Source organism: Homo sapiens, chromosome 1 (assembly GCF_000001405.40).
Source record: "Homo sapiens chromosome 1, GRCh38.p14 Primary Assembly".
NCBI classification, from domain to species: domain Eukaryota; kingdom Metazoa; phylum Chordata; class Mammalia; order Primates; family Hominidae; genus Homo; species Homo sapiens.
Genome location: NC_000001.11, coordinates 43,708,744 through 43,732,626, shown reverse-complemented (window position 1 = coordinate 43,732,626; position 23,883 = coordinate 43,708,744). Strand labels below are relative to the sequence as shown.

At 43.5% G+C, this 23,883-nt stretch overlaps 1 protein-coding gene, 1 long non-coding RNA gene and 1 pseudogene across 58 annotated transcripts in view; 1 reads left to right on the top strand and 2 right to left on the bottom strand.

Moving 5' to 3' along the window:
- ST3GAL3 (ST3 beta-galactoside alpha-2,3-sialyltransferase 3) overlaps positions 1–23,883 on the bottom strand; it is a 223,624-nt gene that overhangs the window by 198,533 nt on the left and 1,208 nt on the right. The window lies entirely within an intron of this gene.
- Positions 5,284–23,235, top strand: ST3GAL3-AS1 (ST3GAL3 antisense RNA 1). The gene is made up of 4 exons (NR_125986.1): positions 5,284–5,394; positions 12,076–12,156; positions 13,501–13,633; positions 23,092–23,235. It is a non-coding gene; the product is annotated as an ST3GAL3 antisense RNA 1 (long non-coding RNA).
- On the bottom strand, positions 16,063–16,156 carry LOC124904721 (uncharacterized; annotated as a pseudogene).

Below are 23,883 nucleotides of genomic sequence, written 5' to 3'. Positions count from 1 at the left end.
TGGCATATGCAAAGGAGTAAACTGAAGGCAGTTTAATGACAGGATTTTTTATAGCTGTTGTGAGCAGCATTTAAAGGAACCAACAAGGAATGGTGAAGCAGCCAGGGACTAGAAACGGCAGGAAGCTATTTCTACCCTTCAACCTCAAAGGGCAAAAGAAGAGAAGGGTGTCACTGGAGCCCAGCAAGAGCTGGCTGGAGAAGAGAAGCCACCCTACAAGAGCAGTGATCACGGATAACGAGCACAGCTGCTACTAGAACCATGGCAAGGGACAGTGGGGGATAAAACATAGTCTGACTCCTCCCAACATTGGCCCTCAGATCTCCTGGCAGTGTCTTTTATCAGCTGATCCCAGCTGGAAGCCAGAAGGCAAGGAAGCCCAGATGATGCAGGTAACAGAGACCAGCTGCCAGTACACAGAAGAAACGAAGGTGAATAAAGTATCTGCCAGGGCAGGAGAATAACAGTGCAGAATATAATGTACCAGCTGGAAAGAATGAGGCATATCTGCATGTACTAACAGGGAAGTGTGTCTAGAACCTACTGCTAAGTGAAAAAAAATCTAGCTGTAGAATAGTATGTACATATATGGCCCCATACTGGCAACAACAAACGAAGATGACAATAATATTTAAAAATTAAGATTAAGGGCCGGGCGCCATGACTCATACCTGTAATCCCAGCACTTTGGGAGGCTGAGGCTGGTTGATCACTTGAGCCCAGGAATTCTAAACCAACCTGGGCAACACAGTAGGACCCTGTCTCTACAAAAAATTTTTTTTAAAAATTAGTCAGGGCCGGGCATAGTGGCTCATGCCTGTAATCACAGTACTTTGGGAGGCCAAGGTGGGTGGATCACGAGGTCAGGAGATCAAGACCATCCTGGCTAACACTGTGAAATCCCGTCTCTACTAAAAATACAAAAAATTAGGCCGGGCGCAGTGGCTCACGCCTACAATCCCAGCACTTTGGGAGGCCGAGGTGGGCGGATCACGAGGTCAAGAGATCGAGACCATCCTGGCTAACACAGTGAAACCCCATCTCTACTAAAAAAAAAAAAAAAAAAAAATTAAAATTAGCCGGGCATGGTGGCGGGCGCCTGTAGCCCCAGCTACTCGGGAGGCTGAGGCAGGAGAATGGCGTGAACCCGGGAGGTGGAGCTTGCAGTGAGCCTAGATCGCGCCACTGCACTCCAGCCCGAGTGACAGAGCAAGACTCCATCTCAAAAAAAAAAAAAAAAAAAAAAAATTAGCTGGGTGCGGTGGCACGCACCTGTAGTCCCAGCTACTTGGGACGCTGAGGCAGGGGAATCGCTTGAACCCAGCAGGCGGAGGTTGCAGTGAGCCGAAATCGTGCCACTGCACTCCAAGCCTGGGCGACAGAGCGAGACTCTATCTCAATAATAAAAATAAAAAAATATTATTCAGGCATGGTGGTATGTGCCTGTACTGGTGGTATAGCCCCAACCAATTGGGAGGCTAAGGTAGGATTTGTTGAGCCCAGGAGGTTGAGGTTGCAGTAAGCCAAGGTTGCACCACTGTACTCCAGCCTGGATGACAGAGTGAGATGCCATCTCAAAGAAAAAAAAAATAAGACTAAGTATCTAGTACATACATAAAAGAATATGCACCAAACTATTGACAATAATTATCTCTGAAAAGTGGGTTCAGATGGAATACTTTGACAAGGTATTTATTTATCCATATATTTATTTTTAATGTTTATATTTGTAAAAGTAAATACATAAAGTTTTAAGTGAAATAGAAATCAGAGACTTGATGGCTAGGCATGGTGGTTCATGCCTGTAATCCTAGCACTTTGAGAGGCCAGGAATTTGAGACCAGCCTGTGCAACATAGTAAGATCCTGTCTCCAGAAAAAAATTAAAAATCAGCCAGGCATGGTGGCATGGGCCTGTAGTCCTAGCTATTTGAGAGGCTGAGGTAGGAGGATTGCTTGAGCCCATAAGTTTGAGGTTACAGTAAGCCATTATGACATCACTACACCCCCGCCTGGGCAACAGAGCAAGACTCTGTCTAAAAAAAAAAAAAAAAAAGAAAGAAAAGAAAAGAAAGAAAAAAAGAAAAGAAAAAGAAATCAGAAACTTGTATTTCTAACTACACAAGGAACTATATATCTTGTCCAAACTTCCCACTGAGAACAACTAAAAATTTAAGTTGTAAGTAGTCTGCGCACAAAAGGCAAGTGGCTCTTAGAAAGAATTTTCTTTTCTTTTAGAAGGGGGCAGAAGTGGCTGGCACCACCCCTCTCCTTTCTGTGCCAAATGCAAGAGATGTGATGCTGAATTGTCACAACCATACAGTGACCACAGCCCAAGGCTCTGGCAGACACACAACAGTCAGTGAGTCAACAGATGCAGCCATTCTTTTCAACAAATATGGCAGTGAGAAGGCTGAAGTAATCACCTGTTTTATTTCAGTCTTTTCCATTAGGGAAAACAATCTTCAAATGACAAGAGTAGAACAAATCCCAAGGAGGAAACTGATTTCCAAAAGTAGACAACATACAAAAGAGCAAAAAAGAGCTTAAAGGAAGCCAAAGCCTCCAAGACAAGGAGAACAATATCCCGAGATCCTGTGAGAGATGTAATTTCAAACTCGCCGCTAGGACAAAAGTCTGACACATTCTAGAAGTGAGGCTGTGGGGTAAAAACAGGCTTTCATACATTACTGGTGGTGGAAGGGATTTGAAAATATCTAACAAAATTACACATGCTTTTAACCCTTTAACCCAATAGTCTCACTTCTAAGAAACTATCCCAAAGATACACTGACAAAAATACAAAAAGTCTTATGTGAATGGCCACTTATTGTAGCACTATTTGTAACGTAACAGAGTAAGATTCAATGTACTCCAAATGTCCTTCAACAAGGGTTGAATCAACTATGGTACATACACAAAATAGGTACTATGCATCCATAAACAAAATGAGGTCCCTCTATCCCTTCCTTTCTAAATAATCTAAAAACCAGTAGGCTTTAGGGAGAGTCACACATGCCTGGGGTGAAAGGGGAGAGAGGGACATTAGTCCATGTGAGGGGTCTAGGTTGTGGCAACAGGTGATTTGGGATTGACCAGATAAGTAAATGTATTGAAGCTAATGGGAACAAGATTTCCCAATGATGGAGAAGAAAGTTACAAATATGGAAAGGGAAAACTGGAATTAATATTTTGACTTGTATTGAAATTGGAGGTATTCAGTGGGAAAAAAATGGTTTTTAATATATAACCAGGCATGGTGGCTCACACCTGTAATCCCCGTACTTTGGGAGGCCAAGGAATAAGGATCACTTGAGCCCAAGAGTTTGAGACCAGCCTGGGCAATATAGTCTTTACAAAAAATTGTCTCGATAGCTGGGCGTGGTAGTGGACACCTGTAATCCCAGCTACTTGGGAGGCTGAGGCAGGAGAATCACTTGAACTGGGGAGGCAGAGGTTGCAGTGAGCCCAGATCATGGCACTGCACTCCAGCCTGGGTGACAGAGTGAGAATCTGTCTCAAAAAAAAAAAAAAAAAAGAAAAATAATTGTCTCTACAAAAAATTTAAAAATTAGCTAGGCCTGGTGGCATGTGCCTGTAGTCCCAGTTACTCAGGAGTCTGCAGTGGGAGGAGCACTTGAGCCTAGGCAGTGAAGGCTGCAGTGAGCTGAGAACATGCAACTGCACTCCAGCCTGGGCGACAAAGAGAGACTCTGTCTCAAAACGAACAATAATACAGAAATATATATGTGTGTGTGTGTATATGTACATATGTGTGTATACATATGTGTATATATGTGTGTTATATATACAAAGACATAAAAATAAATATAGTGAGGATAGTGTGTGTACATTTGTGTGTATACACACATATAATTTTTTTTAAACAGTTTCTGTCATTCAGACCAGAGTGCAGTGGCGTGATCATACCTCACTGCAACCTCGACCTCCTGGGCTCAAGTGATCCTCCCATCTCAGCTTCCCAAGTAGGTAGGACCATAGGCACGTGTCACCACGCCCAGCTACTAAAATTTTTTTAACTTTTTGTGGCAACAGGGTCTTGCTATGTGGCCCAGGTTGGTATCAAACTCCTAGACTCAAATGATCCTCCTGCCTTGGCCTCCCAAAGTGCTGGGATTACAGGCGTGCGCCACTGTGCCCACCCCCCCAACATATAACTCTTTAGCTCTGCCCACAGAAAGACCCTGGCAGTGGTCATATCTCAACAGCATGAAGCATATCTAGTACCTAGATTTTGATGGTGTTTTTGTTTTTGTTTTTGTTTTCTGAGAAGGAGTTTCGCTCTTGTTGCCCAGGCTGGAGTGCAATGGTGCGATTTCAGCTCACGATAACCTCCGTAGATCTTGGTTTTGAAATACTATTCTCCACTAACAAGAAGCAGGGTGCAGCCATAAAAAAAGAATGAATTCAGGTCTTTGCAGCAACATGGTTGCTGCTGGAGGCCATCATCCTAAGCAAATTAACGCAGGAACAGAAAACCAAATACCACATGTTCTTACTTGTAAGTGGCAGCTAAACATTGGGTACTTACGGACACACAGATGGCAATAACAGACACTGGAGACTACTAGATGGGGATGAGGGGTGAAGGCGCAAGGGTTGAAAAATGAACTGTTGGGTACTATGCTGAGTACATGGGTGACAGGATCAATCATACTCCAAATCTCAGCATCACACAATACCCATGTAACAAACCTGAACATGTATCACTGAATTGAAAATAAAAGTTGAAATTATTTTTTTAAAAAAGGTTTAGGACACAGATAGAAAAAGGCACTTAATATTCAAGAGGAGTCATGGGTCTTCCGGGAGAAAAAAAAAATTTTTGAGACACCTAAAACCCAGAACAATGTGAAGTTTGGGGAAGGGATGAGGCTAAAGACAGCATAAATGATTTTTCAAAGTTATGTTTGAAGCAAGAAGAAAAGATGAGGAATAGGTTTAGTTTCATCTCTGATACAGCATTTCTTGTTAAAACTGATGGCTTTCTCTGCAGGCACCTGCCTTCTGAATGCTGGTCCCACTCAGCCATCCACTTTCACTTTTTACCAAGTTAATTTCTACTGATTCTTCAGATCAGTTAATTACTGGTATGCTGCCCCTCCCCAGTCAAGGATCTTTTATTACCCTACCATAGAATCACATTTCTTTCCTTAGTGCACTTCTCTCACTTGAGAAATGCCCCCATTAATGTTATTACTTGATTAATATCGACCTCCCTTTTCTCCTTCCAGGGCTGAAATTGTGTCTGGTTTTGCTCATCATCTTATAGCATATAGCAGGAGTGTAATAAACAATTGCTTAAAAAAAAAAAAGGAAGCAGGTCTCCTTGGAAGAATGGCTGACTCCAAGGCTGGGGCAGAGAAGGCGTAAGGTAAGTCTGGGCCACCTTGTTGTGCCTGAAAATGGGAAAATGCTCAGAGTGAGGACAGGTCAAAAGGAAAAAGGAATCAGCCTGAGGAGCTCCCACTGGTCAGATCTGGAGCAATTCAGCATCAAGATAAAGACTGATAATAACAGATTATAATCCATTAAATAAGAATCTAATAAAGGGGGAGAAAGCTCTCAGAGTGAAACGACAGCTGATGAAAATAGAAGGAATAATGTAATTAGAAAATCACCATTTAGGAACCATTATAGTAATAATTCACCCAAGAAACATCAATGGATGCTAAAATTAATGCATACAAGTTTTACAAGAAATGGGATACAGGGCCAGAAACAATGGCTTACACCTGTAATCCCAGCACTTTGGGAGGCCGAGGCAGGCGGATCATTTGAGGTCAGGAGTTCGAGACCAGCCTGGCCAACATGGGGAAACCCCATATTACTAAAAATACAAAAATTAGCCAGGCATGGTGGCACCCACCTGTAATCTCAGCTACTTGTGTGGCTGAGGCAGAAGAATTGCTTGAACTCGGCAGGCGGAGGCTGCAGTGAGCCAAGATCGTGCCACTGCACTCCAGCCTGAACAAGAAAACAAGACTCTATCTCAAGAAAAGAAAAAGAAATGGGATATAGGCCAGGCACAGTAGCCCATGCCTGTAATACTAGCACTTTGGGAGGCCAAGGTAGGAGGATCACATGAGGCCAAGAGTTCAAGACCAGCCTGGGCAACACAGCAAAATTCCACCTCTAGAAAAAATTTTAAGATTAGCTGGGCATAGTGGCATGTGCCTGTAGTCCCAGCTACTTGGGAGGCTGAGGAGGGAGGATTACTTGAGCCCAGGAGTTAGAGGCTGCAATGAGCTAAGATCATGCCACCGCACTCCAGCCTGAGTGACAGAGCAAGACCCTATCTCTTATAAATAAATAAATAAAAAATAAGATATAAAATAGTTTTAAACTATTTCCTCACTAATTATTAACAGAGGGGAACAGAGTAACTTTGAAGTTGAGAAATCTGACAGACATCACAATAAGCTAGCTGAAGGGGACATATGGGAGTTCTTTGTAATATTTCTACAACTCTTTTGTAAATAAGAAGTTATTTCAAAATGAAAAGTTAAAAAGGGAAAGGAATTTTAAACTAAATGTTCAAATAAACATCTAAATGAGAGTTTATGCAGCCACTTTAAATGGCTGCATAAACTTAAAAAAATTTTTTAATGGTATAGAGAAATGCTTTTGGTATCGTACTAAATGAGAAAAATAAAACGTGAGGCTGGGTGCGATGGCTCACGCCTGTAATCCCAGCACTTTGGGAAGCTAAGGCAGGCACATCACTTGACCCTAAGAGTTCGAGATTAGCCTGGGCAACATAGCGAAACCGTCTCTACAAAAAATACAAAAATTAGCTAGGCACGGTGGTGCGTGCCTGTAGTCCCAGCAACTCAGGAGGCTGAGGTGGGAGGATCACTTAAGACTGGGAAGTGGAGGCTGCGGTGAACTGAGACCATGCCAGTACACTCCAGCCTGGGTGACAGAGTGGGACACTGTCTCAAAAAAATTAATTAATTAATTAAATTTAATAAGAGTATCAGGCACTCAACCATGAGAGACAGAAAAAGATAAATAAAAAATAAAAATGCTAGAAGTAGATTTAAGACAGAGAATTCTGGCTGTGGGACTGCACTTGGCCTCCCTGTATGGTCAGAAAAAAGCATGCAGGCCAGGCGCAGCGGCTCATGCTGTAATCCCAGCACTTTGAGACGCCGAGGTGGGTGGATCACCTGAGGTCAGTTCAAGACCAGTCTGACCAACATGGTAAAACCCGTCTCCACTAAAAATACAAAATTAGCTGGGCGTGATGGTGCATGCCTATAATCCCAGCTACTTGGGAGGCTGAGGCAGGAGAATAGCTTGAACCTGGGAGTCAGAGGTTGGAGTAAGCCGATTGCACCACTGCACTGCAGCCTGAGCAACAAGAGTGAAACTCCATCTCAAAAAAAAGAAAGAAAAGAAAAGAAAAAAGAAAAAAGCATGCAGGTAAAGAGTTGCAGATGCTCCCTCTAGAATGCAGATGGAGCACAGCGATTTGGACACATCCTCTCCACATACATGCATCTTATCCCAGAGAGGGAAGTGGCTCTCTTCTGTCCAAAGCTAATAGGACAAACACTATGTGCTAGGGATTACACATGGCAGCGAGGACACCGAAACACAGAAACTCAGGCCCCACCTTAGAGGACTTCTGACTTCTCTCTTCTCATTAATTCTTCAACTCTGTGGTCTGATCTGGCTTCTAATCCCACCTGTCACTGTGGTAAATGAGTTTACCACTGACCTCGTAAGTGCCACATCCACTGGACACTTTACAGTCCTCCCGCAATTTGACCTTTATACAGCCCCTAAAACTGTGAGAGGTGGTAAGAGCCTTTCTCTGCCTTCTTTGCCACTCATCTTTTAGGACTGTGTTCAAGTGTTAGTTCCTTCAGCAAGCTTTCCTTAATCACAGCCCTACACCATGACTGTGCTCCATAACATCCCATGCTCACCTCCATCATAGCATTTAGAAAACATCTTGTCTCTTTTTCTGCCTCTGCAGATAATTAGCATACAATTTGAAAAAAGAACCTATAACTTAGGTCTGTTAAATCACTAGCATTTATCAGCATAGTGCCTCAAATATAGTAACACTCAAGCAGAGTTTGTTTAAAAATAAAATAGCCTGTAATCCCAGCATTTTGGGAGGCTGAGGAAGGCAGATGGCATGAGCTCAGGAGTTTGAGACCAGCCTGGGCAACATGGCGAAACCCCATCTCTACAAAAAAAAAAAAAAAAATGAAAATAGCCAGGTGTGGTGGTGAGGGCCTGTAGTCCCAGCTACTCATGGGGCTGAAGCAGGAGGATCACTTGAGCATGGGAGGCAGACGTTGCAGTTAGCTGAGATTGCACCACTGCAATCCAGACTGGGAAACAAAGTGAGACCCTATCTCAAAAAATAAATAAATAAATAAATAAAATATATTTACAATTATATTCCCCAACTCTAGACACAATATAATTTGTACACATTCCAAAAAGTAATACATTCTAAAGGTATAATTTGAATGCATATATATATATGCATACATATATTACATATACACACAACAATTTTAAATATAGAGAGCAGCTCAGGGTGCTATCTTAGGCTTTCTTACATTCTCATTCTGCAGATATCCCCAAAGCAATGTCATCCTCTTCTGTGACTTCGTTTACCACCATTATGCTGACTCTTAGTCCATTTGCTTTGCTATAAATAAATACCTGAGGCTGGACACAGTGGCTCACGCCTGTAATCCCAGCACTTTGGGAGGCCGAGGCGGGCAGATCACCTGAGGTCAGGAGTTCGAGACTAGCCTGGCCAATATGGTGAAACCTCATCTCTACTAAAAATACGAAAATTAGCCAGGCATGGTGATGTGTGCCTGTAAACCCAAATACTTGGGAAGCTGAGACAGGAGAATCACTTGAACCCAGGAGGCAGAGGTTGCAGTGAGCTGAGATCATGCCACTGCACTCCATCCTGGGCAACAGAGTGAGACTCTGTCTAAAAAAAAGAAAAAAGAAATACTTGAGACTGGTATAAAAAAAGAAAAAAGAAATACCTGAGACTGGGTAATTTCTAAAGAAACGAGTTTATTTGGCTTACAGTTCTGTAGGCTGTATAAGAAGCAAGGCAGCAGCATCCACTTCTGATGAGAGCTTCAGGGTGCTTCCACTCATGGCAGAAGCGGAAAGGGAGCAGATATCACATGCCAAGAGAGGAGGGAAGGCCGGGCGTGGTGGCTCACGCCTGTAATTCCAGCACTTTGGGAGGCCGAGGCAGGTGGATCACCTGAGGTCAGGAGTTTGAGACCAGTCTGGCCAACATGGTGAAATCCCGTCTCTACTAAAAATACAAAACTTAGCTGGGTGTGGTGGTGCGTGCCTGTAATCCCAGCTACTCAGGAGGCTGAGGCAGAAGAATCACTTGAATCTGGGAGGCTGAGGTTACAGTGAGCCCACTTCATGCCACTGCACTCCAGCCTGGGCAATAGAACGAGACTCCATCTCAAAAAAAAAAAAAGGAGGGAAGAGAGAGAGGGGAGGGTTGCTACCCTCTTAAATAACCAGCTCTGAGGGAGAAGTCACTCATTATGCAGGGACTGCACCAAGCAGTTCATGAGGGATCCGCCCCCATGACCCAAAGACCTCCCACTAGGCTCCACCTCCAACACTGGGGATCAAATTTCAACATTAAATTTGGAGAGAACAAATATCCAAACTATGTCACTATCCTAAATTTTACATATTCAGCCTAGATATCCCTTCTGAGTTCCAAGTCCAAGTATGTAACTTCTTGCTATACCTCATCATCTAGATGTTTCACCCCGAGGAATTACTCTTCCTCCAGCATTTACTATCTCAATCAAAGTCAACCCTTTCACAGATGCTTCTGTAAGAAACCTGGAAATTAGCCTTGACACTAGACTCCTCCTCACTCTCATCCTGCACACATAATCAATCAAGTCCTACAAATTTTATCCCTAAATACTTCCTGAAGCCACACATCCCTCCCTCTTCACTGCCACCATCCTAATTCAAGTCACCATAACCTTTTGCATGGACTACTACAATAGCCTAGTAAGCCTCCTACATCCATTCTTGCCCCTGCCCAATTCATTCTCCACACAGCAGCCAATGTGATAGGATTATTTCACTCCCAGGCTTAAACTTCATACATTTCCCATTTTCTTTAGGGTAAAGTCTCAGACTCCTTAAACAAAGCCTAGACATCTGGCCCCTTCCCACCTCTCCTCCACATCTCTTGCCACCTCATCTTTTTATGAGCCTGCAACATGGAGCTTCTCTCAGTGTTTTCAACTTATCATGCCTTTCCAATGTCAGGCTGAAGCCCTTCTGACCCACCGCTTTATTTACTTCCCAATGTCAGGCTGAAGCCCTCCTGACCCCACCACTTCATCTAGCCAACTCTTACTTATCTTTTACGTCTCAGCTAAAACCTTAATTCTGTAGGGAAGCATTACCTGTCTCCAGGCTTTAGGTTAGGTTTCCCTGTCATATAGTCCTACCACACCCATATATCCCTATCCCATTACATTGTGCACTTATAATTTTCTAAGTATTTACAATAATTTAATATTTATATTCTGGCTGATCCAGGCAGGGAACATGTCTATTTTGTTCACCATTTTATCCCTGGTAGGTGCTCAAAAACTGTCTGTTGACTAACTGATTATTCAATCAGTTACAGTGTGCTTGAAAAAAAATACATGAGGGGGCCGGGTATGTGGCTCACGCCTGTAAGCCCAGCACTTTGGGAGGCCAAGGCAGGCAGATCACCTTAGGTCAGGAGTTCAAGACCAGCCTGACCAACATGGTGAAACCCTGTTTCTACTAAAAGTACAAAATCAGTCAGGCGCAGTGGCACATGCCTGTAATCTCAGCTACTCAGGAGGCTGAGGCAGGAGAATCGCTTGAACCCAGGAGGCGGAGGTGGCAGTGAGCCGAGGTCACACCATCGCACTCCAGCCTGGACAAGAGCGAAACTCTGTCTCAAAACAAAACAAAAAAAGAGCCAGGCACAGTGGCTCATGCCTGTAATCCCAGCACTTTGGGAGGCTGAGGCGGGCGGATCACCTGAGGTCGGGAGTTCGAGACCAGCCTGACCAACACAGAGAAACCCCGTCTCTACTAAAACTACAAAATTAGCTGGGTGGGGTGGCACACGCCTATAATCCCAGCTACTTGGGAGGCTGAGGCAGGAGAATTGCTTGAACCTGGGAGGTGGAGGTTGCAGTAAGCCAAGGTCATGCCATTGCACTCCAGCCTGGGCAACAAGAGGGAAACTCCGTCTCATTAAAAAAAAAAAAAAAAAAAAAAAGGTTTAATTATAGGTACTTCATTTCTTTTCTTCTTTTTTTTTTCTTTTTAAGAGACAGGGTCTTGCTCTGTTGCACAGGCTAGAGTGCAGTGGTACGATCATATCACACTGCAGCCTCCAACTACTGGGCTCAAGTGATCCTCCCACCTCAACCTCCCAAGTAGCTGAAACTACAGGTATGCACTACCACACCTGGCTGATTTTTTACTTTTGTAGAGACAAGGGTCTCATTATGTTTCCCAGGCTGGTCTTGAACTCCTGGCCTCAAGCAATCCTCCTGCTTTAGGCCTCCCAAAGTGCTAGAATTATAGGCATGAGCCACTATGCCTGGCCCAGTACTTCATTGCTTTTTATTGCTGAATACTATTTCATCCTAGGAATATACCATATTTTATTTATCCATTCATCAGCTGGCAAGACATCTGGGTTGTTTCTACTTTTTGGCTGAATAACGCTGCTATGAACATTCACGTATACATTTTTGTATGGACATACTCTTGGGCATATACCTAAGAGTGGAAGAGGGTATGTAACTAGAGCTGTGGTTTGAACATGTCCCCCAAAAAAGCATGTGTTGGAAACTTAATCTCCAATACAACAGTGCTGGGAGGTGAAGCCTAATGAGAGGTATTTAGGTCATGAGGGCTCCACCCTCATGAACGGATTAATGCCAATTATAAAAGGGCTTGAGGCTGTGAGTTCAGTCTCTTTCTCTCTCTCCCTCACTCTCTCTTGCCCTTCCAGGTCCTGCCATGAGATGATACAGCAAGGAGGCCCTCACCACATGCCAGCCCCTTGATCTTGGACTACCCAGCCTCCAAAACTGTAAGAAATAAATCTGTTTTTTATAAATTATCCAGTCTTAGCTATTGTTATAGTAACACAAAATGGACTAGGACACCTAGAATGACATCTACTGGTTGTATGGTAATTCTATGTTTAACTGCTTGAAGAAATGACAGCGTGTTTCCCAAAGTGGCTACACATTTTACATTCCCAACAGCAGTGAATGAGCATTCCAATTTCTCCACATCACCAGCTCTAACACTTATTCTTTTTTTCTTTAAGAGACAGGGTATCACTCTGCGGTCCAGGCTGGAGTGCAGTGTCATGACCTTGGCTCAGTGCAGCTGCAACCTCCTAGGCTCAAGCGATCTTCCTGCTTCAGCTTCCTCAGCAGCTGGGACTACATGCCTAGCCAATTATTCTATTTTTTGTAAAGATGGGGTCTCACTGTGTTGCACAGGATGGTCTCTAACTCCTGGGCTCAAGTAATCCTCCCACTTCAAATCCCAAACTGGTGGGATTATAGGTGTGAGCCACTGCTTATTCTTTTTTTTTTTTTTTTTTTTTTTTTTTTTCTGAGACAGAGTCTTGCTCTGTTGCTCAGGCTGGAATGCAGTGGCATGATCTCGGCTCACTGAAACCTCCGCCTCTCAGTTTCAAGTGATTCTCCTGCCTCACCCTCCAGAGTAGCTGGGATTACAGGCATATGCCACCATACCCGGCTAATTTTTGTATTTTTAGTAGAGACGGGCTTTCGCCATGTTGGCCAGGCTGGTCTCCAACTCCTGACCTCAAGTGATCCGCCCACCTCAGCCTCCCAAGCCACCGCTTATTCTTTTTTTTTTGAGACAGAGTTTCACTTTGTTGCCCAGGCTGGAGTGCAGTGGCATGGTCTTAGCTCACTGCAACCTCAGCCTCCCAGGTTCAAGCAATTCTCGTGCCTCGGCCTCCCATGTAGCTGGGATTACAGGCACCCGCCACCACACCCGCCTGATTTGTTTTTGTATTTTAGCAGAGACGAGGTTTCAACATGTTGCCCAGGCTGGTCTCGAACTCCTGAGCTCAGGCAATCCGCTCATCTCGGCCTCCCAAAGTGCTAGTATTACAAGCATGAGCCACCGTGCCTGGCCCCAAGCCACCGCTTATTCTTATCTGCTGTTTTGATTCCAGCCACCATAGAGTGTGAGGTAGCATCTCATGGTAGTTTTGATCTACACTCCCCTGAAGGCTGATGATGTTAACCCTCTTTCTATGTGCTTATTTCTTTACTTCTTATTAGCCAATCTAGCATTACGCCAATTCTCTGTAATAGTTAAGTAATTCTTACATTAAACCTTATCTGTTCAAATTACCATGTGATTTCTCTCTTTTAATTGGATCCAGACTCCTGCAAGATGAGTAGTCAGTGACTTCCTGAGTAGAAATCAAATGATCTACAATGGTTTTAAAAACAGAGAACAGAAGAGTAAAGCTGAAAAATACTTTGTCACTGGCCAGGTACTCCCTTTAGAAGCAGGTAAGAGGCCTGGTGTGGTGGCTCACGCCTGTAATCCCAACACTTTGGGAGGCCAAGGCAGGCAGATCACCTGATGTCAGGGGTTTGAGACCAGCCTGGCCAACATGGTGAAACCTTGTCTCTACTAAAAATACAAAAATTAACCAAGCGTGGTGGTGGGCCCCTGTAATCTCAGCTACTTGGGAGGCTGAGGCAGGAGAATCATGTGAACCTGGGAGGTGGAGGTTGCAGTGAGTCAAGATCACTCCACTGCACTCCAGGCTGGGTGACAGAGTAAGATTCCATCCTAAAAAAAAAAAAAAAAAAAAAAAAAAGATGTAGCAGAAGGATAAAAACACGTATGGGAACTTTAAACACCTTTAACTCAAACAGTGGCTTTTTTCTGTTGAAGGAGGGAGAAGAAGGGAAAAACACATTAGGAAGGCTTTCAGTAAAAATGTAATGTTCTCTTTATTTAAAAAATAAAAAAAAACTCAAGCAAGATGGCATATTAAGATTTAATGATAGACAGGCGCAGTGGCTCACGCCTGTAATCCCAGCACTTTGAGAGGCCGAGGCGGGCGGATCATGAGATCGGGAGATCGAGACCATCCTGGCTAACACAGTGAAACCCCATCTCTACTAAAAATACAAAAAATTAGCTGGGCATGGTGGCGGGCGCCTATAGTCCCAGCTACTCGGGAGGCTGAGGCAGGAGAATGGCGTGAACCAGGGAGGGATAGCTTGCAGTGAGCCAAGATCGCGCCACTGCACTCCAGCCTGGGCGACAGAGCAAGACTCTGCCTCAAAAAAAAAAAAAAAAAAAAAAGATTTAATGATAGAGCCGGGCGTGGTGGTTCACGCCTCTAATCCCAACACTTTGGGAGGCCAAGGCAGGCAGATCACCTGAGGTCAAGAGTTCAAGACCAGCCTGATCAACATGGAGAAACCCTGTCTCTACTAAAAATACAAAAATTAGCCGGGTGTGGTGGCACATGCCTGTAACCCCAGCTACTCGGGAGGCTGAGGCAGGAGAATCGCTTGAACCCGGGAGGTGGAGGTTGCAGTAAGCCAAGGTCATGCCATTGCACTCTAGCCTGGGCAACAAGAGTGAAACTCCGTCTCATTTAAAAAAAAAAAAAATTCATGATAGGTATAATTATTTGTTCTGTTCTTGTATGTGTAAAATACATCATTAGAAAATACAGGCCAGGCACGGTGGCTCACGCCTGTAATCCCAATACTTTGGGAGGCTAAGGTGGGCATATCACTTGAGTTCAGGAGTTTGAGACCAGCCTGGGCAACATGGCAAAACCCCATCTCTACAAAAAAATACAAAAGAAAAAAAAATTACCGGGGCATGGTGGTGTGCACCTGTAATCCCAGCAATTCAGGAGGCTAAGGTGGGAGGATCACTTGAGCCCAGGAGGTCAAGGCTGCAGTAGCTGTAACTGCACCCCTGCACTCCAGCCTAAGCAACAGAGCAAGGCCCCACCTCAAAAAAAAAAAAAAAATTAGAAAAGAAAAAAGAAAAACAAAATATAAATGTTCCCTTTCCTTGCTATTATTTCTGAGACTTTACATGTTTTAGGCCTATGCAGTAGTTCCATATTGTTTATCTGCTCATGTATTTTTTCAGAAAGGAAAGACATATTTTAGAAAAACTATGCTGGACTATTGCAAAGTAACTATGCTGGAACTATGCTACCAGCTATGCCATCTTATCAGTCCCAGCAAAAGTCATTGTTACACACCTGAGTAAAGCAGCGGACACACAGGGAGTGGTGCCTGCCCTCAAGGAGCAGGGTGATTCGTGCAGTTATGGAATAAACAAGGAACAGATGTTATGAGATTATGGGAATTAATAATTGTCTGGGAGGCTCAGGAAAAGCTTCAGAGGCGTTGCCTGAATTAAACTGACTCTGGGAAGCTGAAGCAGAAGGGCAGGAGAGGGATTACAAGCCACGCTAAGGAGTCTGAAATTTATCCCATTGGCAATGAGGAACCACGTACATAAACAAATGACGTAAATCTATGTTTTAGAAAGGTTGCTCGTGTAGCAATATGGAGAACTGACTGGAGAAGGCTAAGCACAGAGCAAGAAGAAGCCATTATAACAGCCCAGGCCATTTGCCCTCAAAGAGGGGATGTACGGGATGTACACCTCGAAGGGCACTCAAAGTGATTCAGCAGGGTATTGGAAGAAAAATACCACACCTCCTATTTATAAACCTCTCTTGGTGTTTAATTTCATGGACACCGGCCTCCTCATGCAGTCCCTAAGTCAGATGTCTGTCGCACATGAGGTTCAGGAAGACTCCTCAGGAAGTGTGAAAATTCCACAGTGTAGAGTGTGTGGTACCGCCATTCACTCATTCACGTCCTAATGTAGTACGGTTCATGTAGTACAGATGACATCAATATGGTTAGTTCCGTAAAAATTGGATGTTAAAAAGATTTTTTTATGGAACACTTCATAAATTTGTGTGTCATCCTAATCTTCTCTGTATCGTTCCAATTTTAGTATATGTGCTGCCAAAGCAAGCCCGTAATAGGATCTTTTAAATAGGATCATAACTAAACTTGACAATGAGACAGCGAGAAACTCTGAAACCTGCACCACGAAAAAGTTTTCCAGTTATCATGTCACCAAGTGCTTATAAGAGTTCTAGAACTTAAAGAGCAGTTACATAATTTTCTTCTACAAAAATGTTGTTGTTCTCAGTTTGGTGACCTTTCCTGGGATGGCAAATGTAAACAGTATGGCACCTAGCAGATACTCCAAAAATACACACAGCTGCCCTTCCAAAATAAACATCTATTTCGGTTGGTGCAAAAATAATTGTGGTTTTTGCCATTAATATTATCAGAGGCTAGAAACTAGCTGTTTTTTAAAGAAAACTGTTGAGTGCATTTTGAAAATAGACGTTTTTAATGTTTCCATTCTTATGTTGTTACCAGAAGGATATAAAAGTCACACAAAAACTCGTAACTATATACCAGCAGTTCTCAAAGTGTAGTCCAAGGACCCTCAAGGGTCCCCAAGACCCTTTTAGGGGGTCCATGAGTTTAGAACTATTTTCACAATCTAAGACATTCTTTGCCTTGTTCACTCTCATTCTCTTATGAGAGTCCAGCAGTTTTCTAGAGGTTATATAACATGATGAGGTGACCACGATTCTTCTCACAGTTAACAGTATGCATGCTTGTGGGTTATTGTGATTTTTGAGACAGGGTCTCACTCTGCCACCCATGCTGAAGTGCAGTACCATGATCACAGCTCATTGCAGCCTCAACCTCCTAGGCTCAGGCAATCCTGCTGTCAGCCTCCCTAGTAGCTGGGACTACAGGGATGTGCCACCATGCTTGGCTAATTTTTTAATTTTTTGAAGAGATGTAGTCTCACTATGTTACCCAGGCTGAACTTTTTTTTTTTTTTTAGACAGAGTCTCACTCTGTCCCCCAGGCTGGAGTGTAGTGGCATGATCTCGGCTCACTGCAACCTCTGCCTCCCAGGCTCAGGCAATCCTCCCACCTCAGCCTCCCAAGTAGGGGGTACCAGAGGCATGTGCTACCACACCTGGCTAATTTTTTTGTATTTTTGGTAGATATGAAGTTTCACTATGTTGCCCAGGCTGGTCTCAAACTCCTGAGCTCAAGTGATCCCCCTACTTCAGCCTCCCAAAGTGCTGGGATTATAGGCGTGAGCCACCGCGCACAGCCATGAACATTTTTTATCATTTTTTTTTTGTACTCAGTGATTTTTAAAACATTAAATATCGACAGACAATACTCACAAACATGAAAGTTATTTGGGAATACTCAATAATTTTTAAACTTTAAGGGAATCCCGAGACCAAAGAGAACAACTGCTACATTCTTTAAATCCTCAGTAACAGAATTTCCTGATTTAACATATTCCAAACAAAAGGGTTCAGTGAGTTTTTAAGCTGTGTTAAAAATACATAAACATGCCACCTTTCAGTTACTTTGCAAGAAAAACTGACATCAAGGAAGAGGAAATTTATGATACATAGACAAATAATGGGCCAAGGCAGTAGATGACATTTCATCAGAGTAACATAAATTAAGTTCTACAGGAGTTGAGAGAGGAGGAACTCATGTCAAGCCAGGATGATCATATAAAGAATCTAATGGAAAATAAATATGAATTAAACTTCCATTACTATCTTTAAAAAAATCATCAGAAGATGACTGAGGAGGAGCAAAATTTCAGGGGGAAGAAGTCAGCAATGACAGGCCGAGGAGAAGTGTGTATGTTTTAGCAACCCCATCTGATGAGTATATTATGGTCACACACATTTGTGTCACTTCTGAGCAAGGGTTGGGAATAGCTAAATGCCATATAAACTGTTGGCATTTAAGCAATGTTTAAATTTTTTATTTTTGGAGATGGAGTCTTGCTCTGCTGCCCAGGGTGGAATGCAGTGGCGTGATCTCGGCTCACTGCAACCTCCGCCTCCCAGGTTCAAGCAATTCTCCTGCCTCAGCCTCCAGAGCAGCTGGGACTACAGGTGCACGCTGCCATGCCCAGCTAATTTTTTTTTTTTTTTTTTTTTTTGTATTTTAGTAGAGACGGGGTTTCACCGTGTTGCCCAGGCTGTTCTGGAACTCCTGAACTCAGGCAATCCGCCCACCTCGGCCTCCCAAAGTGCTAGGATTACAGGCATGAGCCACTGCGCCCAGCAACAATGTTTAAATTTGTATGGGATTTTTTTTTTTTTTTTGAGATGGAGTTTCCCTGTCTTGTCACCCAGGCTGGAGTGCAGTGGCACGATCTCGGCTCACTGCAACCTCCGCCTCCCGGGTTCAAGTGACTCTCCTGCCTCAGCCTCCTGGGTAGCTGGGATTACAGGCGCCTGCCACCATGCCCAGCTACTTTTTGTATTTTTAATAGAGACGGGGTTTCAACACATTGGCCAGGCTGGCCTCGAACTCCTAACCTCAGATAATCCACCCACCTCGGCCTCCCAAAGTGCTGGGATCACATGTATGAGCTACTGCACCCGGCCCGTATGGCATTCTTATCAACTGTCTCTTTTTGATCTCAGAGTAATTCCCTTATGCCTAACACTCCCAGCCTAGCATCATCCATCACTTAAAATGCATATCCTTGTTAGTAAGACCTAAAATAAATGCAAAAATAAAACCACAACGTGGCTGGCCGTAGTGGCTCACGCGTGTAAACCCAGCGCTTCGGGAGGCAGAGCTGGGCAGATCACTTGAGCCCAAGAGCTCGAGACCAGCGTGGGCAATATGGTGAAACCACATCTCTATAAAAAACACAAAAAATTAGCTGGGCGTGGTGGTGCGTGAGTGCCTGTGGTACCAGCTATCTGGGAGGCTGAGGTGGGAGGACCACCTGAGCCTGGGAGGTTGAGGCTGCAGTGAATCGTGATCATATCATGCCAGTGCACTCCAGCCTGGGTGATAGAGTGAGTACTTTTCTCAAAAAAAAAAAAAAAAAAAAATCCCACAACGTTGGCATCTTTAGGTAGTGAGATTTAAGACTAGTGATCACCTACCATGAACCAGGTAATATACTAAAGATTAGAAATATTATAACTGTTTTTTATTATTAAACTATTACTTGTATAGATCTACTAATAGCTCAAGACCAGGCTTTTTACACCTATTCCCTCCAATCCTCAGAGCAACCTGGCAAGGTAGGAATTTTTGTCCTCATTTTCCAAATTTGAAAACCAAGAAGACATGACATTCTGAAGCCTATCCAAGGTGACACAATAGAAACTGGCCAGGCTATGACTGAAATCCTGGTCTGCTGCTCATCTAGCCCTAGGAAGCACACAGACATGCCGCTCACATGTTGCACCAGCGTAACTATCCTTCCGTCCAGTCTTACCTCATTCTAACCTTCATCCTGCATAAATATTTTATGACTCTTGTGTAGTAGGCATGGTACTATGGATGCAAACCTCAGAACTCCCCATGTGAGGGAAATAGCTATTCACTATTCTGCCTCTTCCACACAGTGATGTTCCTGAAAGGCAAAGCTGACAAAGTAGTCACTTTCTATCTTCAAATCCTTCAGTGGCACCTAATCACCTTCAGGATAAAGCTCTAACTTCATAACTCACAAAGACCTTCACAATCTATTCTTGACCGATTTCTGCAGCCTCATTTCCCACACACTCCCCCAACAGGCTCCATACTCCTGCCACACCAGTGTCTTTAGGATGTAGCCACATTCTTTGCTTCTAGGCCACAGCACACATTGTTGCCTGTGTGAAAAGCCTTTTAAACCCATATCCACCCAGCTAATAACTACTGATTTTTCAAGATGTAGGTCAGATGTGAACTTCCCTAGAAAACCAGTACTCATATTCCCCACGATATCAGGTGCGCTTTTAGAAGATCCCACAAGACCCTCAACCACAGCCCTTGTTATAATGTATTCTGCTTCTGGTTATAATGTATTCTTTACTTGCTTCTGGTCCTACTAGACTGGAGGTTCTTTGAGGCCAGGGACATGTCCTTCATACCTATCAAGCCACCACCTAGCACAGAGCCTGGCAGAGCTTATGTTCAGTACACATTTGTGGATGATGAGAGCACCTGGTCTAGTAGGAGAGAAAGAAATGTATACACTCACATAAAATATGAAAAATGTGAAAATAAGAGATCGTAGGGATGCTGTCCAAGGGAGAAAAAAGGTGGGGAAATCCAGGGGAACCCTTCTACCTGTATTTCTGAGGGCTCCTTACCTGATTTCTCAAGTTTCTTCTAACCTTGCTGCAGCTGGTTAGAAGCACTGTGATCATGAGTGCTTACTGTGAACCACGTGCTCTGCAAAGCACTTTACATGAACTGACTTGTTTAATTCTCACAACTGCCCCATGCATTTCACTGATGAGGAAACTTAGGCTCAAAAATAAGATTCCTGCTTAATGTCAGACAACTATTAATAGTGGAAGAGCCAAGATCTGAACCCAAATCTGTTTCCTGAACCAGGGCTCCAACCAGCACTGTTTCTATTGTCTGTCAAAAGTGAAACCTCCTCCCCAAATACCAAGTTTGCTAGGTTCAATTAAACCAGTAAGGTTAAACTAAGATTACTTTTTAATTTTAACCATTTGAGTGAAAATGCACCTAAAATTATTACACATTTCCCAATTTCTTATAAATTGAATACCCTGAATATAATTTAACTTTTATTTTTTGCTATCTCAGAACCATTGCTGTATTTGTTACTAAGAATGCTGTAACATAGTAAGTTTTGTAAAAGACATTCCTCAGGAATGACTGTGTCATAACTCGGATGTAACAGATTGCCCTTGTATCAACACCCTTGGCCTGTGAGCATTTACAAGTGCTTGGAAGAGTTTTGACTCTGAATCTACCATTACCCCATGCCTGGTTAGAGCTATTATTTCTTGCTACTGTCAATGTTTGTCTCTAGCAGCCCATCTGATGTGCTACCTCTAATCTTCAATGGGCTGTGATACCCCAGATGAGGTAGTAGTCATTAGTGCTATGCACCAAATATTTCTGGCTCTTTGCTTCCCAGACATATGCTAACACTGAAATTCTCTAACCTTCTTTAAAGTTAGGCATGGCTATGTGACTTGCTTTGGCCAATGAAAATGTGAATGAAAGTGGCATGTGCCATAGTGGGACAGAAACTTGAAAAGCCAGTGTCCACTTGACCACTATCTTTTCATTTAATCAAAATGGTCATGGCAGTACCATATTAAGATGGAGTTTCTATCAGCCTCAGTTCCTGAGTAACTGTGAAGAGTTTCCTGTACACTCATGCTGGACACGTCACATGAATGAGAAGTCAAGTTTTGTTCTGTTACGCCACTGAAGTCTTGAGGTTTTTGTTAGTGCAGCCTAATCCAAGCTATCTATGTCAATACAGATCTCTCAGTAAGGGATTCTCTCACATAAACAACTTTATTTATAGATTTTAATGATAAACATTTTGTTTGGATAAAGAATTATCTCTGCATCCATCCTGATTCAAAGCTATTTTCAATATAAAATATATTTGCCAAGTACCTACTATGTACAAAGTTGGATGATGAAGAGGACAGTCTATGTCTTGAAATAGCTTCAGTCTTATACTGTGGGTAGAAGCAGGATTTAAGGCAATTATCGCAAAAAGGCAGACTCTAATGTTATGGTGGTTTAAACTTAAAGAAGAGAGACAGCTCATCTAGATGGGAAGAAAAAGTACAGATAAGCTTCACAAAGGAAGTTCCGTATCAAATGGCCCTGAAACATACGTAAGAACAATTAAAGTCAAGGAGACTATTTAAGATAGAAAAAGCCAACATGAGCAAAGATACAGAGCACAAACAGCAAAGCACAAAGAGCAAATAGTTCCATTGACCTGGAAAATATAACAGAATGGCAAGAAATCAGTTTGCCCATATTGCCCATGCCAGGCTGGTCTGTGCCTAACGCAACAGATAATGGGGAGCCATTCAAAGTCCTGGCTGGAGAAGTGACAAACTTGGAAGTGATGGCAATACACATGATGGATGGAAGGAAAAAAATGTTAGGGGGTTTCTGTGGTAATTCACAGGAATGGTCCAATGGCCCCAGATCAGTGTGATGACAGTAGGAGTGAAAAGAAGCAGATGCCAGGCTAGGTATGGTGGCTCATGCCTATAATCCCAGCACTTTGGGAGGCTAAGGTGGGCAGATCACTTGAGATCAGGAGTTCAAGATCAGCCTGGCCAACATGGTGAAACCCCGTCTCTATTAAAAATACAAAAATTAGCCGGGTGTGGTGGCACACGCCTGTCGTCCCAGCTACTCAGGAGGCTGAGACGGGAGAATTACTTTAACCCAGGTGGTGGAGGTTGCAGTGGGCTGAGATGGGGCCACTGCACTCCAGCCTGGGCAACAGAGGGAGGCTCTGACTCAAAAATAGAAGCAGATGCCAGAAACAGTGTGGAAGTAGGGTCAACAAGACCTGGCACCCAACCAAAAACACGGGGAGAAAAAAAGAAGAAAAGTAAGAATAAACTTGAGGTGCCGCTTCTGGGTTGAGAGAACTGTTATTCCAAGTAGCTGAGGTGAATCAGAAAAGCGACAATGGGCTAGGTGTGGTGGCTCACGCATATATTCTCAACACTTTGGGAGGCTGAGGTGGAGGATTTCTTTCTTTCTTTTTTTTGACCGAGTTTCACGCTTGTTGCCCAGTCTGGAGTGCACTGGCGCGATCTCGGCTCATTGCAACCTCCACCTCCCGGGTTCAAGCGATTCTCCTGCCTCAGCCTCCCGAGCAGCTGGGATTACAGGCGCCTGCCACCACGCCTGGCTAATTTTTTGTATTTTTTTTTTGGTAGAGACGGGGTTTCATCATGTTGGCTAGGCTGGTCTCGAACTCAAGGTGGGAAGATTTCTTGAGCCCAGGAGTTCAAGAACAGCCTGGGCAACATGACAAGACCCTGTCTCTACAAAAAAAATTTTTTTTAATTCTCCAGGTCACCTGCCTGTGGTCCCAGCTACTTGGGAAGCTGAGGTGGGAGGATCGCCTGAGTCCAGAAAGTCAAGGCTGCAGAGAGCCACATTCACTGCACTCCAGCATGGGTGACAGAGGGAGACCCTGTCTCAAAAAAAAAAGAAAAAAGAAAAAGTGACAATGACAAGTAAAGTGTTACTGTATTCCTGATAGTTAGCTACAGCTTCCTTTGAAGTAAATTCTATTACTTGTTTACTCTTTGCACCACACAGGACAAAGGTACCTCTTGGATTAATGCCATCAACCTACCTTTTGTGCAACCTCATATCCTGCTTTTTCTGCTAAGAAACCCCCTGGAACCACCCATGAGCATCTCAGGTTCCCCTGCACCTTTGTCATCCTCACTTTCTCATCTGCTCACTTCTTCCCCTTCATACAGCCGGCTACCCACTCTTCATGACCCAATTCAAGCCTCAGCTTCCCTGTGAAACCTTCCTCAAACACATGGATTTCTCCTTTTCTCGGTTTCTCAGAGTACCTACCATCTTGGAATTCTAGAGACCATATCACAGTTATCATTGTCATGTGTGTGCTTTATTCCCTCAAGTATATTATAGGCCCATTAGAGCAAGTTTCTTATCTTAAATGGTTTTGAGTTTCCCCTCAGTCAATGCCTTGCATAAAATATGTACTCAAGAGGCGTTCCATTGATTGATACAAAGTCTGTTAGTCTCTGAGAACATGAATGTCTTGTTTCATCGTTAACATTTTATTTTTATTAAACCATGGTTAGACAGTTAGACACGCGAAATGG